Source organism: Homo sapiens, chromosome 5 (assembly GCF_000001405.40).
Source record: "Homo sapiens chromosome 5, GRCh38.p14 Primary Assembly".
Taxonomy (NCBI): domain Eukaryota; kingdom Metazoa; phylum Chordata; class Mammalia; order Primates; family Hominidae; genus Homo; species Homo sapiens.
In genome coordinates this window covers 71259309-71274168 of record NC_000005.10, presented here as the reverse complement: position 1 = coordinate 71274168, position 14860 = coordinate 71259309, and the positions used below count along the sequence as shown (strand labels likewise).

At 34.3% G+C, this 14860-nt stretch overlaps 1 long non-coding RNA gene across 2 annotated transcripts in view; it reads left to right on the top strand.

Moving 5' to 3' along the window:
- LOC105379016 (uncharacterized) overlaps positions 1-14817 on the top strand; it is a 30505-nt gene extending 15688 nt beyond the window's left edge. Inside the window, exon 3 of one of the 2 annotated variants that reach the window (XR_948416.3) lies at positions 13325-14817. This is a non-coding gene — a long non-coding RNA (uncharacterized LOC105379016). Of the gene's footprint in view, positions 1-7830; positions 9026-13324 lie in introns of those variants that run through there. The other variant, XR_948417.3, reaches the window with a different exon arrangement.
- The last annotated feature ends 43 nt before the right edge of the window (positions 14818-14860 follow it).

The window sequence follows — 14860 nt, the reverse complement described above, 5'->3', positions numbered from 1 at the left end:
TATATGACAAACCCGCAGCCAGTATCATACTGAATGGGCAAAAACTGGAAGCTTTCCCTTTGAAAACTAGCACAAGACAGTGATGCCCTCTCTCACCACTCCTATTCAACATAGTGTTGGAAGTTCTGGCCAGGGCAGTCAGGCAAGAGAAAGAAATAAAGGGCATTCTATTAGGAAAAGAGGAAGTCAAATTGTCCCTGTTTGCAGGTGATATGATTGTATATTTAGAAAACCCCATCATCTCAGCCCAAAATCTCCTTAAGCTGATGAGCAACTTCAGCAAAGTCTCAGGTTACAAAATCAGTGTGCAAAAATCACATGCATTTGTATACACCAATAACAGACAATCAGAGAGCCAAATCATGAGTGAACTCCCATTCACAATTGCTACAAAGAGAATAAAATACCTAGGAATCCAACTTACAAGGGATGTGAAGGACCTCTTTAAGGAAAACTACAAACCACTGCTCAACGAAATACAAGAGGACACAAACAAATGGAAGAACATTCCATGCTCATGGGTAGGAAGAATCAATATCGTGAAAATGGCCATACTGCCCAAGGTAATTTATAGATTCAATGCCATCCCCATCAAGCTACCAATGACTTTCTTCACAGAATTGGAAAAAACTAAAGTTCATATGGAATCAAAAAAAGAGCCCATATTGCCAAGACAATCCTAAGCAAAAAGAACAAAGCTGGAGGCATCACGCTACCTGACTTCAAACTATACTACAAGGCTACAGTAACAAAAACAGCATTTTACTGGTACCAAAACAGAGATATAGACCAATGGAATGGAACAGAGGCCTCAGAAATAACGCTAAACATTTACAACCATCTGATGTTTGACAAACCTGACAAAAACAAGAAATGGGAAAAGGATTCCCTATTTAATAAATGGTACTGGCTAGCCATATGTAGAAAGCTGAAACTGGATCCCTTCCTTCACCTTATAGAAAAATTAATTCAAGATGGATTAAAGACTTAAATGTTAGACCTAAAACCATAAAAACCCTAGAAGAAAACCTAGGCAATACCATTCAGGACATAGGCATGGGCAAGGACTTCATGTCTAAAACACCAAAAGCAATGGCAACAAAAGCCAAAATAGACAAATGGGGTCTAATTAAACTAAAGAACTTCTGCACAGCAAAAGAAACTACCATCAGAGCGAACAGGCAACCTACAGAATGGGAGAAAATTTTTCCAATCTACCCATTTGACAAATAGCTAATATCCAGAATCTACAAAGAACTTAAACCAATTTACAAGAAAAAAACAAAGCCATCAAAAAGTGGACAAAGGATATGAACAGACACTTTTCAAAAGAAGACATTTATGCAGCCAACAGACACATGAAAAAATGCTCATAATTACTGGTCATCAGAGAAATGCAAATCAAAACCACAATGAGATAGCATCTCACACCAGTTAGAATGGCGATCATTAAAAAGTTGGGAAACAACAGGTGCTGGAGAGGATGTGGAGAAATAGGAATGCTTTTACACTGTTTGTGGGAGTGTAAACTAGTTCAACCATTGTGGAAGTCAGTGTGGCAATTCCTCAAGTATCTAGAACTAGAAATACCATGTGACCCAGTGATCCCATTACTGGGTATATACCCAAAGCATTATAAATCATGCTGCTATAAAGACACATGCACATGTATGTTTATTGTGGCAGTATTCACAATAGCAAAGACTTGGAACCAACCGAAATGTCCATCAATGATAGACTGGATTTAGAAAATGTGGCATACATACACCCTGGAATACTATGCTGGCATAAAAAATGATGAGTTCATGTCCTTTGTAGTGACGTGGATGAAGCTGGAAACCATCATTCTGAGCAAACCTTCGCAAGGACGGAGAACCAAACACCGTGTGTTCTCACTCATAGGTGGGAATTGAACAACGAGAACACTTGGACACAGAGTGGGTAACATCACATGCTGGGGCCTATTGTGGGGTGGGGGGATGGGTAGGGATAGCATTAGGAGAAATACCTAATGTAGATAATGAGTTAATGGGTGCAGCAAACCAACATGACACATGTATACATATGTAACAAACCTGCAAGTTGTGCACATGTGCCCTAGAACTTAAAGTATTAAAAAAAAATACACTTAAGAAATGTGCTCAGAACACTTACATTAGCCAGTCCAAAAAAAAAATCTAACCTAAAGCCTATTTTTAAATAAAGTGTTGAATATCACATGTAAATTATTAAATACTGAATGTGAAAAACGGAATGGGTATATGGGTAATAAAAGCATTGTTTCTACTGAATGTTTATCACTTTTGTACCATGATAAAGCTGTAAAGTTGTACCATTGTAAATCTGGGACCATCTGTGTTACATTCAAGAGAAAAGCTCAGTCGAACTAATAAATAAATCAAAATTTCTTCTGATTATTTAGGTGTTTTTTCCTGTTAGATAATTAAGACATCCAACTGTTGCTTGCTGCTTCACCACACAGACCATACACAGATACAAATACACACTCCATGAATGAGCATATGTGCTTGTTTAAAGAGACATACTAACCAAACAGTTGTATGCTGCCGTGATATTGATTATGTCATCAAGTTTCTTATTTAACAAAACACAGCTGTGTATGAAGTATTTCTCTAAAATGTACATTCAATAGCAACTGGTTTTGTTCAGTCTTATGTACCCATATTATTTAAATGAGCACCTGGAGTCTAGAATTAACTAAAAAATATCTATGTTGATGCATATTAAGTTGATTTTGAAGTCATAAATTTTGACAAGAATTGATACTATGGCACTGTCATAACTTTACAAAAGATGACCTGAACTAACATGATTTTATGCTTTTACCAGTGGAACTCCCTGAAATATATTCAGATAATTTGTTATTAAAGCAAAACTAAGTTTATTGAAACCCTGTGCCAAGAAAGTACACCATTTTGACATACTTTTGCAGTGTTTCAGCAGGGAAGAGTGAGAGGAAGATTTTTCATGTTTGTGGAGAATGGCTTAAGAGAGTTAAATGAGTCTTTCAAAGTGAGTAGCTGATTGAAATTGAGCTAAACTCAGAGCATAATAGTTTAGATAGTCTAAGAAATTGAAAAAAAAGTTGATGCCAAGCATACAAGAAATAACACCACCAAAAAATAGACCTAAATACAGACAAAATTAGATTAAAAACAAGAATATGTTCAATGTTAATAAAAGCAAAAGGAACATAGACATAGTTATGGAGGAGTTTTGTTTTGTTTTAATAAGATAAAAATATGGTTAGTTTTATAGCAATACACCTGGAAATCTGGATCAATTCTGTCCACTATAGTCATTACTAGTGACATGTAGATATTGAACACTTGAAATATGGTGGATTTGAATTGATTTATGCTATATGTAAAATACAAACTAGATTTAGTTTAAAAAATGTAAAACTGAATAATTTTAATATTGTTTTATGCTGAGATGACAATATTTTGGATATACTGGATTAAATACATATAAAATATTGTTAAAAATCAAGTAGTATAGTAAAATTGGTCTTTTTGTTTTACTTTTTTATTTTGTTTTGGTTTTTGAAGGGATAGAAATCATGGCTAAGATGGACCCTGGGGCATATCATTGACCATCATGAAACATGCACTGATTTGCCAAATGTATTATTTTCCTGTGGCTGTTATAAAAATCACAATACACTTAGTAGTTTAAAACAACATAAATTTATTGTTTAGCAGTATTCCAGGTTAGAAGTTCAACACAGGTCTTACTGATTTAAAATCAAAGCATTGGAAGACTGCATTGCTTCTATAGGCTCTGTGGAATAATCCATGACCTGGCCTTTCCCAGGCTTTAGAATCCAGCTGCATTCTTTGATGCATGTTCCCTGTCTTGGGCAGCTTGGAATACTGTAAGAAAATACCATAGACCGGGTGACTTAAACAACTGACATTTATTTCTCAGAGTTCTGAAAGTTGGGAAGTCCAAGATTAAGGTGCTGGTATATTTGGTTCATGGTGAGGGCCCACTCCCTCTCTGGTTAGTAGATGGCCTCCTTCTCTCTGTGTTCACATGGCCTTTCCTGGATACATGTTTACGGAGAGAGAAAGAGAAGGGTGGTTGGGTGGGAGGTGGTCTAGTATCTCCACCTTTTCTTATAAGAACACTAACATTATCATGAGAACACCACACTTAGGACATTATCTCAACCTAGGTTCCTCCCAAAAGCTCCATCTCCAGATACTATCACACTGCCAATTAATAGATCATTGAAAATAATCTATTAATATTTGAACAATGCCAATCATCTTCAATAGATTAATTTTAGGGAGACACAAATATTCAGTTCATAACAGTTCCTTTCCTTGACCTTCAAAGCTACAAATGAAGGAGCAAGTCTTCACATTCTCCTTTTATATCTCCCTCTTCTACGTGTAAAGAATCTTATGATTGCATTTGGCCATCTAAAAATCTATGATAGTCTCTCCATTTCAAAATCCTTAACTCTAATTGCATTTGCAAAGTCTGTCCTGCCAGGTAAGCTAACAAATTTATAAATTATCTGGATTAGGACCCCATCATCTCTGAAGAGCCATTATTCTGACTACCACATCAGTATGTTAGTTTATGTCAAGATTGCTGTAATAATCAATAGGTTCTGGTACCACAAATCCAGTAGCAGTCATTAAGGTTGATTGAGTTTATTGATTGCTTTCAGCTCCATTCTGCTATTAATCACTTTTGGGGATATAAAATGAAGACCTTATCACATAGAGGAAGAGGTAGATGTGATAGGAGCTTGAATATGTAATAAGAATTTTTTATGATATGTAAATGTGAGAAATGAATTAAGTATGTGCCATTTGTTCTCTTCTTTTTAAGACATTTCTTTCTAAAGGTTTAGTGACAGAAGTTGCATTCTATTAAAGATCCCTAAGTGCTGTTCTGCTGTAGGCATAAGCTTTCTTTCCTGGGTGCAGCATGTTAGGATTTAAGATTTCTATTTATCTAATACTCTGCTGTTTGTCAGATAAAATAACAATAAATAGTGAGTCCAATTATTGATAAACCCAGATGTTTCATATTTAGGAATCGATGTTAAAAAAAAAAAACTCTAATTGGCATCCTAAGGAAAATGTGTGCAGCTTAGCACTGATTCAACTGCATGTTTAGCCAAATTGTGAACAAATTACGGCCAGCTTCCGGACTCTTCTAGAGAGTGACTAAGGACGGCATAGAGGAATTAGGAATAGTAGCTTTATAGGTAAAGTAATTAAATGTAACCTTAAGCATAAAAAGATAAAGTTAACTAGGAAAATGAAAACTCAAGATATACAGATTAAATATGACAAACAATGGATCTTTTTTTGTGGATCTTGGTTTGCAGATACCGATATCTCATATAGTGATTCACTTGATCCAAAGGCATTTGATGGAAGCTGTCTTCTCCCAAAGACTATTTGCTTTTGGAAGAATCCTAAGAGTCGTTAGTTAGAAGTTTTTGGTAGGGATACTTTCCTGTAATATGAAGATGACCTAAACCTCTTTACTTGAGAGATAGGAATCAAAGGATCAGTCTTTTAAAGACTATGGGTTTGCTAGTTGTTAGCTGTGCCTGATAGTGACTTTTTTCCTATGATCTTTCCCTGCCGTGTCTCTTAGAAGACAAGGTATCCAGGTATGAAAACCAATTTTGCAGACATTGTTTAGGATACTAATGGGGAAAGTCTTCAGTAACTTTTGTTGAAAGAATGGATTTCCTGAGTCCTTACAGCATTTAGTTAAATAAGTGTAGATTTCTAGAATCAGAGCTAATATTCCTAGACACTTGGTTTAGCTGTTACTAACTCATGAACCACAGAAAGAAGAAATACCTTAGACCATGCAAGTTTGACGATCTCTGTGAACTTTACCAACTTTAGTTTCAGAATTCCATCTTTCTACCTTCCCAAAAGGTTGAAAGTGATATGGACAGTGAAGTCTGATTAATTGACAGAACTTTTCCATGTTAATAAAAATTCCGGTAAAATGGTTTCCTTGTTACTAGAGATATAGTTTGGGATTCCCCAGGCTGAAAAAAAAAAAAAGGATTTTCTCCATGCCAACAAGAGACAAATAATGATCAGAACATATTTAAAATCTATTGCCAGCACTTGTTATGAAAAATTCATTTAGATTTTTACTGAGACATTTTACAGTTTTGTTAGGATTAATCTGACGAAGGTTGAGACAAGTTGTAAGGATATAGTTATATAAAGATATACTTACCAATTTTAGCAAAATTTTCCCCCAGCTATTGGTTAAATACATTGGTCAATTTGTCCTCATTGTGCCAGAAAAGCTCAGCAGTTCTGACTAAAGTTTATGTTAACCCATTGCCAGTAGAATGAAAGAGTTGAATCCTCTCTTAAATTATAATATATAGTTGACTCCTCAACAACACAGGTTTGAACTGTGCAGGTCTGCTCATATGTAGATTTTTTCCTATAAATATATTAGAAAATTTTTGGAGATTTATGAAAAATTGAAAAAGATAACAGGTGACCCATCTACACAAGAAATATTAAAAAACTAAGAAAACGATGTCATGAATGCATAAATCATATGTAGATACTAGTGATCATTTAATACAATGAAATATATATGCGTCTATTATAAAAAGTTAAAATTTATCAAGACGTAGGCAAACACAGAGCATACATGCAGCCAATTGAAGTTTAGAGAAAAGTAAAACAAAAATATACAAAAGTAAATCATAACTGCACAAAATTAACTGTAATACATACTGTACTACTGGGATAATTTCCTAGCCTCCACCTGTTGTTCTTGCAGTGAACTCAAGTGTTGTGAGTATTCACTTAAAATGCCACATAATGCTAATCATCTTCTTGTGAGTAGCTTGTCTCTCCAGTAAATTAACACAGTAAAAAGTGTTCTCTCATGTTTCTCCTGTATTATTCATGATGTCTAGTGCAATACCATAAACCTTGAATAACACCTTCAGACCTATAAAAAGTGCTGCTAGTGATGCTGAAAGTTCTTCCAGGAAACAGAGAAGGGTCCTGACATTACAGGAAAACAATGAATTGCTTGATAGGTACCCTAGATTGAGGTCTGCAGCTGTGTGTGCTGCCATTTCAGAAGAAGGATCCATCTTGTAAACACAGGATTGTAAACTTATGAGAGAAATAAATATACTGTAGTACTGTAAACGTATTTTTTCTTCCCTATAATTTTCTTAATAACACTTTCTTTTCTGTAACTAGCTTCATTGTAAAACTACGGTGTAAAATACATACAGCGTATGAAATATGTGTTAAGGATTGTCCAGTCAACAGTAGGCTGTTAGTTTAGTTTTGGGGAGTCCAAAGTTATATGTGAATTTTTGACTGTGCTGGGGTGGTGGGGAGGGGTTAGGGAGGTTTGATGGCCCTAAACCTTGTGTTTTTCAGGAGTCAACTGTACAGTTTAGAAGAATATGATTTAGAATTTCCCTGAGATTAAGAACATATTAAATGGTGGGAAGGATATTGATAGACCTCTAGATCTAGTGACACTATCAACTTTGACTGTGTCTGTTTGATGAAGGAATTAAAATCTAGTAACAAAAGCATTTTGTAGATAGTTATTGTACCAGTCTTTGTTCTTGAACATCAGTGTGTTTTTTTGAACTGAAAATCACACATTGAATGAAAGGCTTCATCTCAATATATTTTATTTACACATAAATTTGAGCTGTTTTTTGTTCACAAGTTTGGCCGATAAAAGAGCCCTCACAATAGCTTTAATTACCATTTAAAATTACAAATTAATGTGATTTTTTAATTTTTCTCTCTTTTGTAGGGTGAAGGAGCAATGCTTTTGGTTACTCAGTATTCTCTCAAGAAAATTTAAAGATAGTTTATACACAGAAGATATTTTAACAGGTTATATTCTGAACTTGTGGCCCGGATTTGGAAAAAGCAATATCAAGTATGGTTCAAGGGGACAAGAAAGAGAGAAGCATTTGTTACCATTTTTCCAAGTCAAAAATATTTAATCAGATAATATTTTAAAAGCCAGCAATAATTAGTAATGATTGGTATAATGTTTTTGTCAAAATTATTAAATAGGAGATAAAATTAAAAGCTTTATTTTTTTGCATTCAAATAAAATTTTAAGTATTTTGATGAGCTTATTAAATCAACAATGCATGTATTACATTGAACCTGACTTCTTAATAAGTTGCAACCAAATCTTTAATGATAAGTTTAGGTCAGAGAGATAATTTTGAGATTTGTCACCATAAAGATAGGGTATAATGTGATGTAAATAATTAAGATCAGGTGGAAAGACAAATAAGATTGAAGGAAGACCCAAGACCAAGGTTTGGGGCACTCTCAGAAGTTCTAAAAAAAAAATTTAGACTATGAGTAAAGAAGGATTGATCAGCAAGGTGAAATGGATCAAGGAAATGTGGGCACTCAGAGGTACAGAGGGGTTAATTGCTGCTCAGAAAATACTCAGACGAATGCTGAACAGTAGATTAGATAGAACCGATGTCCTAGAAATCATGAAGATAAGTGACTTTATTAAAATACATATTATAAACAAAGAAGGAATTTACTGTTCGAAAAGTTGTCTTGAAGAATTGTTTTGGGAGAAAATAAAAAATAAACCTTATTTTCTAAAATACACTAAAACTAATTCCAAATGAGTCAAAGGATTGTGTACAGATATTTTAAATTAATAAAACAATGTTAGTGCAGATTCTCTTTAATTACTTCCCTGATTGTTTTACCTATAGTAACTCATTTAATTCTACTAGCAATCTTTTCATGTTGGATACAGCTATTCAAATTTTCTTTTGTTATTGCAATAGCCTCCTAACCATTCTTCCACAAAATTGAGGCACTAAAAGGTTGTGAAATTTCCTCTATGCCACAGAGCTTTTTAGTGATGATTTGGCATTTGGAAGCACATCTTTGAAATGTTCATTTTTCTCTGATGGCCAGTGATGGTGAGCATTTCTTCATGTGTTTTTTGGCTGCATAAATATCTTCTTTTGAGAAGTGTCTGTTCATGTCCTTCGCCCACTTTTTGATGGGGTTGTTTGTTTTTTTCTTGTAAATTTGTTTGAGTTCATTGTAGATTCTGGATATTAGCCCTTTGTCAGATGAGTAGATTGTGAAAATTTTCTCCCATTCTGTAGGCTGCCTGTTCACTGTGATGGTAGTTTCTTTTGCTGTGCAGAAGCTCTTTAGTTTAATTAGATCCCATTTGTCAATTTTGGCTTTTGTTGCCATTGCTTTTGGTGTTTTAGACATGAAGTCCTTGCCCACGCCTGTGTCCTGAATGGTAATGCGTAGGTTTTCTTCTAGGGTTTTTATGGTTTTAGGTCTAACGTTTAAGTCTTTAATCCATCTTGAATTAATTTTTGTATAAGGTGTAAGGAAGGGATCCAGTTTCAGCTTTCTCCATATGGCTAGCCAGTTTTCCCAGCACCATTTATTAAATAGGGAATCCTTTCCCCATTGCTTATTTTTCTCAGGTTTGTCAAAGATGAGATAGTTGTAGATATGCGGCGTTATTTCTGAGGGCTCTGTTCTGTCCCATTGATCTATATCTCTGTTTTGGTACCAGTACCGTGCTGTTTTGGTTACTGTAGCCTTGTAGTATAGTTTGAAGTCAGGTAGCGTGATGCCTCCAGCTTTGTTCTTTTGGCTTAGGATTGACTTGGCAACGCGGGCTCTTTTTTGGTTCCATACGAACTTTAAAGTAGTTATTTCCAATTCTGTGAAGAAAGTCATTGGTAGCTTGATGGGGATGGCATTGGATCTATAAATTACCTTGGGCAGCAAAGACTTGGAACCAATCCAAATGTCCAACAGTGATAGACTGGATTAAGAAAATGTGGCACATATACACCATGCAATACTATGCAGCCATAAAAAATGATGAGTTCATGTCCTTTGTAGGGACATGGATGAAATTGGAAATCATCATTCTCAGTAAACTATCGCAAGGACAAAAAACCAAACACCGGATGTTCTCACTCATAGGTGGGAATTGAACAATGAGAACACATGGACACAGGAAGGGGAACACCACACTCTGGGGACTGTTGTGGGGTGGGGGAAGGGGGGAGGGAAAGCATTAGGAGATATATCTAATGCTAAATGACGAGTTAATGGGTGCAGCACACCAGCATGGCACATGTATACATATGTAACTAACCTGCACATTGTGCACATGTACCCTAAAACTTGAAATATAATAATAATAAAATTTAAAAAAAAATGTTCATTTTTAATTATAGCACTACACCATGCACTGAATCACGGAGGGTAAAAATGCACACTGTTAATAAGAAGGAGGGAGTCAATCTCATTAGTATTATAATATTTATACTGAATGAGACTCCATTCCCGAAATTCACAGAATTAAAATAATAAAAATAAAAATTTATTGCTAGCCAATTTGCAGCAAAAAAGATTCATTCTCATATTCTGCTATGAGAAAATAAATGAAATTGAATTTTAAAAGACATTTTTGGAAAGCCCTTTGAATTAACCAGAAAATTGTTAAATTCGTAGTTTTTTTGACTAACATTCTTCTTCCACGTTAACAGAATTTATATATAAGTGACACTCATTGCATATACTTTTAAGGGGTAAAATAATTACTAAATTTATGTACACTATTAATACTTCATTGTATAAAATTGCATATATACCCATATGCAAATGTGCACAGAATCAATAGGGTAACCATAGACATAAAATGATCAGTGCAGGATATTTTATTTATGCATTTTATATATAATATACTTTTCATTTAATATTTTTGCTAATTTTATTGAATTGAATATTTATGCCTTGGTTATAGAACAACTAAATTTATTTTCAAAGAAACTCCATTATTATTGTCTGCAAGAGTAAAACTTATAAACAATCTAAAAATTCAACCAAATACAACCATTTACAATTGTGCCCTAGTTGAATTTGTAATCGTAGGAGAAAACACAGGTGTTGAATTTTTTGAATTTCATTTAAAAAATAATTGACACAATCCCTAAGGTATCATATAAATTAATTGAATTGTTATTGTCTTGGGTTAACATTTATTTCTAGAGTTTTTTTTCCCCTAATATCTGATTTTTTCCATTAACATTACTTATTTGGATAATCAGAAAAAAATCAACATTGCCAAAAGATAGATAATACCACAAGCGAAATATCTATGATAATGATAGGAAAATGCTTTGAATTCAGGCTGAATGAGAATTAGTCTAGGAAAACAGCTTGGACCCTCTCATTCCTGTTAATGTCATCTCTGTGTTTAGCACTGCTGCTATTCCTCAGCTACTAAGAAATGCTCTATTGCTGGGCATGGCATATGGGAAGCCAAGAAAAATGACTGGCTGCTTGGTGACAGCTCTCTAGTCCTCATGCCAAGTTCTGCCAGTGATTTAAATATTAAGTAATGGAAAGAATTTTGAAATCCAGGATGATTAGAAAAGTCATTTTCTACAAAAGTGAAGCATTGTCTTTAGAGATTAAAATCTATGAAAATAACATTATTGAAATACTAGACTTCAGACTATTTTTCTGAATTACTGTAACTGTTGAAATAGGTCTTTCAGCCCATTAAGATAAACACCACACTTTTCTCTTCATGATCTCCAGCTGTAATTTTATAGTGAAAGGTGCTTGCATAAAAGAGTTCACACTATCTGAAAGATGTCACATGTAACATTGACTGGCAGCCATTTCAGAATGGCAGACAGCCAATAAATCATTCAGAACTATGTGTCACTCGTTGTGGCTTTAAAATTGTATTCCTTCTCCTTTGATAAAGAACATTTCAATGTCAAATAGTTTGTTCTATTTAAACTTATACATCAACCAGAATATTGAGATACACAATAAAATTAAATGATTTGGTAATACCTTTAGAATTTATCTAAAAACAGCCGTATGTATTTGCATGACAGATTTGGTTCACAAACCGATCAAGTTGTTAGTATCAAAGGCATGTTTTAGTGCTGATTTGTGTATAGATAAATTTAGGAAATTACATAAATAGAAATACTTCTTTATAAAATTCCTTGACCTTGTGATATCTTGGTATTAAGAATCTTAAAGGAATCATTTAAAAAAATTCAAAAGCAAACAATTTCGATTTTACAAGAGCTAAGAAAAAAACATTTTGCTATGGACACAGATCGCTCTTCAAGAAAAGATTTCTTTCCCCCTTGGCTGCTAGGAGCAATATTACAAAGCAGCCTTCAGCTCTCAGCTCCTTCAAAGTTTGCCTCAGCTGTAACCATTGTCTGGCTCAATGTTAGGGCATCCTGGAGCACTGGACATGCAAACACGAATGGAGATGAGGTTATAAAGCCTGGCCATTTTGACCCACCTGAGAGGATTCTGACAGGTCCTTCCAGTGCCTGAGAAACCCAGGGCTCACATGCTTTATATTCTGATCATTCTGTAGGGGTTGTTCCCATGGGTGATAGAAGCTGCCAAATATAAAGAGGCAACCATGCAAATTTTTAGGAATTATTTCCAAAACTCTCATAACAACATCATATATATTTATTGGTTGTTTAAGTAGATTTCTGAGGAGTAGATAGCAACGATAGAAGTGAAAGAAAGTAAATGCAGTTGTTAAAGGATTAGTCTTCCCATACTTAGAAAGTACACAAGTTGCATATACACTATGTTCCTTCCCTAGAGCAAGTATTTCAATGCAGTCGTGTGTGTGTTTGTGTGCTTGTGTGTGTGTGGTGTGTGTGTGTGTGTGTGTGTATGCTAACTGAACTCATTATAGATTTTATTGGATCAGATATATGAAGAGACTTGGAAGACTTGGGTTTGTCTGGAACTGGGTGAAATAGAGAAGGACGATCATTGACATAGAAAGCTGATTACTTTGTCCTTTGAGTATAAATAGTCTTACAATAAAATGGCATCTCCACTGTCTAAAACACATTTTTACATTTGCTCTCCTTCTGAAATTATTTATGTGAAATTAACAAATGTACTTATTACCTTAGAAACAAACGATCCGTAATTTATATTATTTATTGTATATTTGTAGATCCACTTAAAATTGATTTGCAATATAAGGAAAAAATGCGTTTTATAAGTTGTTTGCTTTGTGTAGTGCATCTTGTTAACCGTAGGACTACTGTTGCATTGAAACAAAATAGAATTAATCTGTTCAGGTAAATAGAACTGGAAGTGAGATTTGTTGTCACTCCTTCTCCTTCAAGTACTGACCAGTCTTTTAATTCACACATAACTAACACTCTGTGCAATAATATTTTTTTGTTCTCTGTCTTTTCAAACAGAACTCAAGCTCCATGAGGAGATGTTTCATTGTCGGTGAGCACATTCTTGTCAATTAGTTCCTTCTTGTTTCTTACTATAGCCCCTGTGTCTAGAACCTTTCCAGGTATTCAGTAGCCATTTAAAAATTATTTGTTGAATGAATTGTTATTTTAAAGAACATCCACAATTTTGCCTGACTGGGCATGGGAATACATGCCCATCTTTGGACTGAATGTCCATTTTTCCCTTCTTTGATTTATCAAAATATTGGTTAAATGATCAGGACTACCGTCAGAAGGAATTTTATATCTAAAAATAGTTTACCTTCTATGGATGTAAAAAATAGTTGTAGTAGTTCTGGCTTTTATATTATTCGATGTTTCAAAGCGGTTTTTTTTTTCCATCACCATATTCTACGTTCTTGAAAAGTACTCGTTCATGTGACTGCTATCATTTATGCTTGTGCAGCACGTAGATACAGGAGAGAAGATAAGGAAAATGCTTACCCTGTGTCTCCTTCCCTGTAACACAGTTTTTTTTACCATATTGATTCTCCACTTTCTACTCCCTAAGTAAAATTTTGCAACAGGCATTTGGGAAACTCTGGATACAAGAAAAAAATTTTAATATTGTACAAAGAGACAAGAGGTGACTTCTTTTTTATTTTTCATTTAGAGTTTATAGTTTAATTAAAGAAAATGCACATATATCTAAAGATAATCATGGATAATACACTCATGTAATTACTACTTTCAGTGGTTGTAACAACAGCCAAAGCACAAACAGAAATGAGAAAGAATTATCAGCATTATGCAAGTACATATCCTCTTTAAGAATTCCTGTTATAGTGAAAGCATTAAAATAATTGAACACGTACAGAGACCATATACTTTGTGATCTTTTTAAAAAAGTATTCAAAATATATTTCTGTGTGCAAAACATTTTCATAATGGTCTTGTTTAAATGAAAGTATTTAGAATAGCACATTGTAAAATTATGCTGCAGAGCACAAGTATTTTTCTCTTTAGAAGACACATAATAAAATAGAATCATCAGTGTTTTTTCATAAACATGAATCTTTAGAGTGTTACTTGATCCTGCATAATAAGGGTACTTTTTTGCTTAATGTAAGCATAGTATACTAATTCTTTTAAACTTCAGAAAGCATATTTACAGTCTAGGCAGATGGGACATGAAGGTCACACAGCATGAGCAGTGAAATATCTCATTTACCTAGAGTTCTAGAGAGAATTTTAGGAACTCTTATTTATTATCAGTGCATAAACAAGAGTAAACTCTACAAAACTGTTTGCAAAACTCTCCTCTTTCTACTCAGAAGGCTTTCCCTAGAATAATCATTATGGAGTCTGTCCATCCTTTACTCATTCACTGCATGGGGACAGGTGTTAGTTATGAGATTGGTGAATTTAGAAAGCTAACCAATTTCATACCTATTTTGGGATTCTCAATTCACAAACTTTTGTGCGTTTCTTAATTATTTCCTTTCTTTTTCTTGTAGAGAGCAGTCATGATGCCCTGCACTCCACACAATGCAA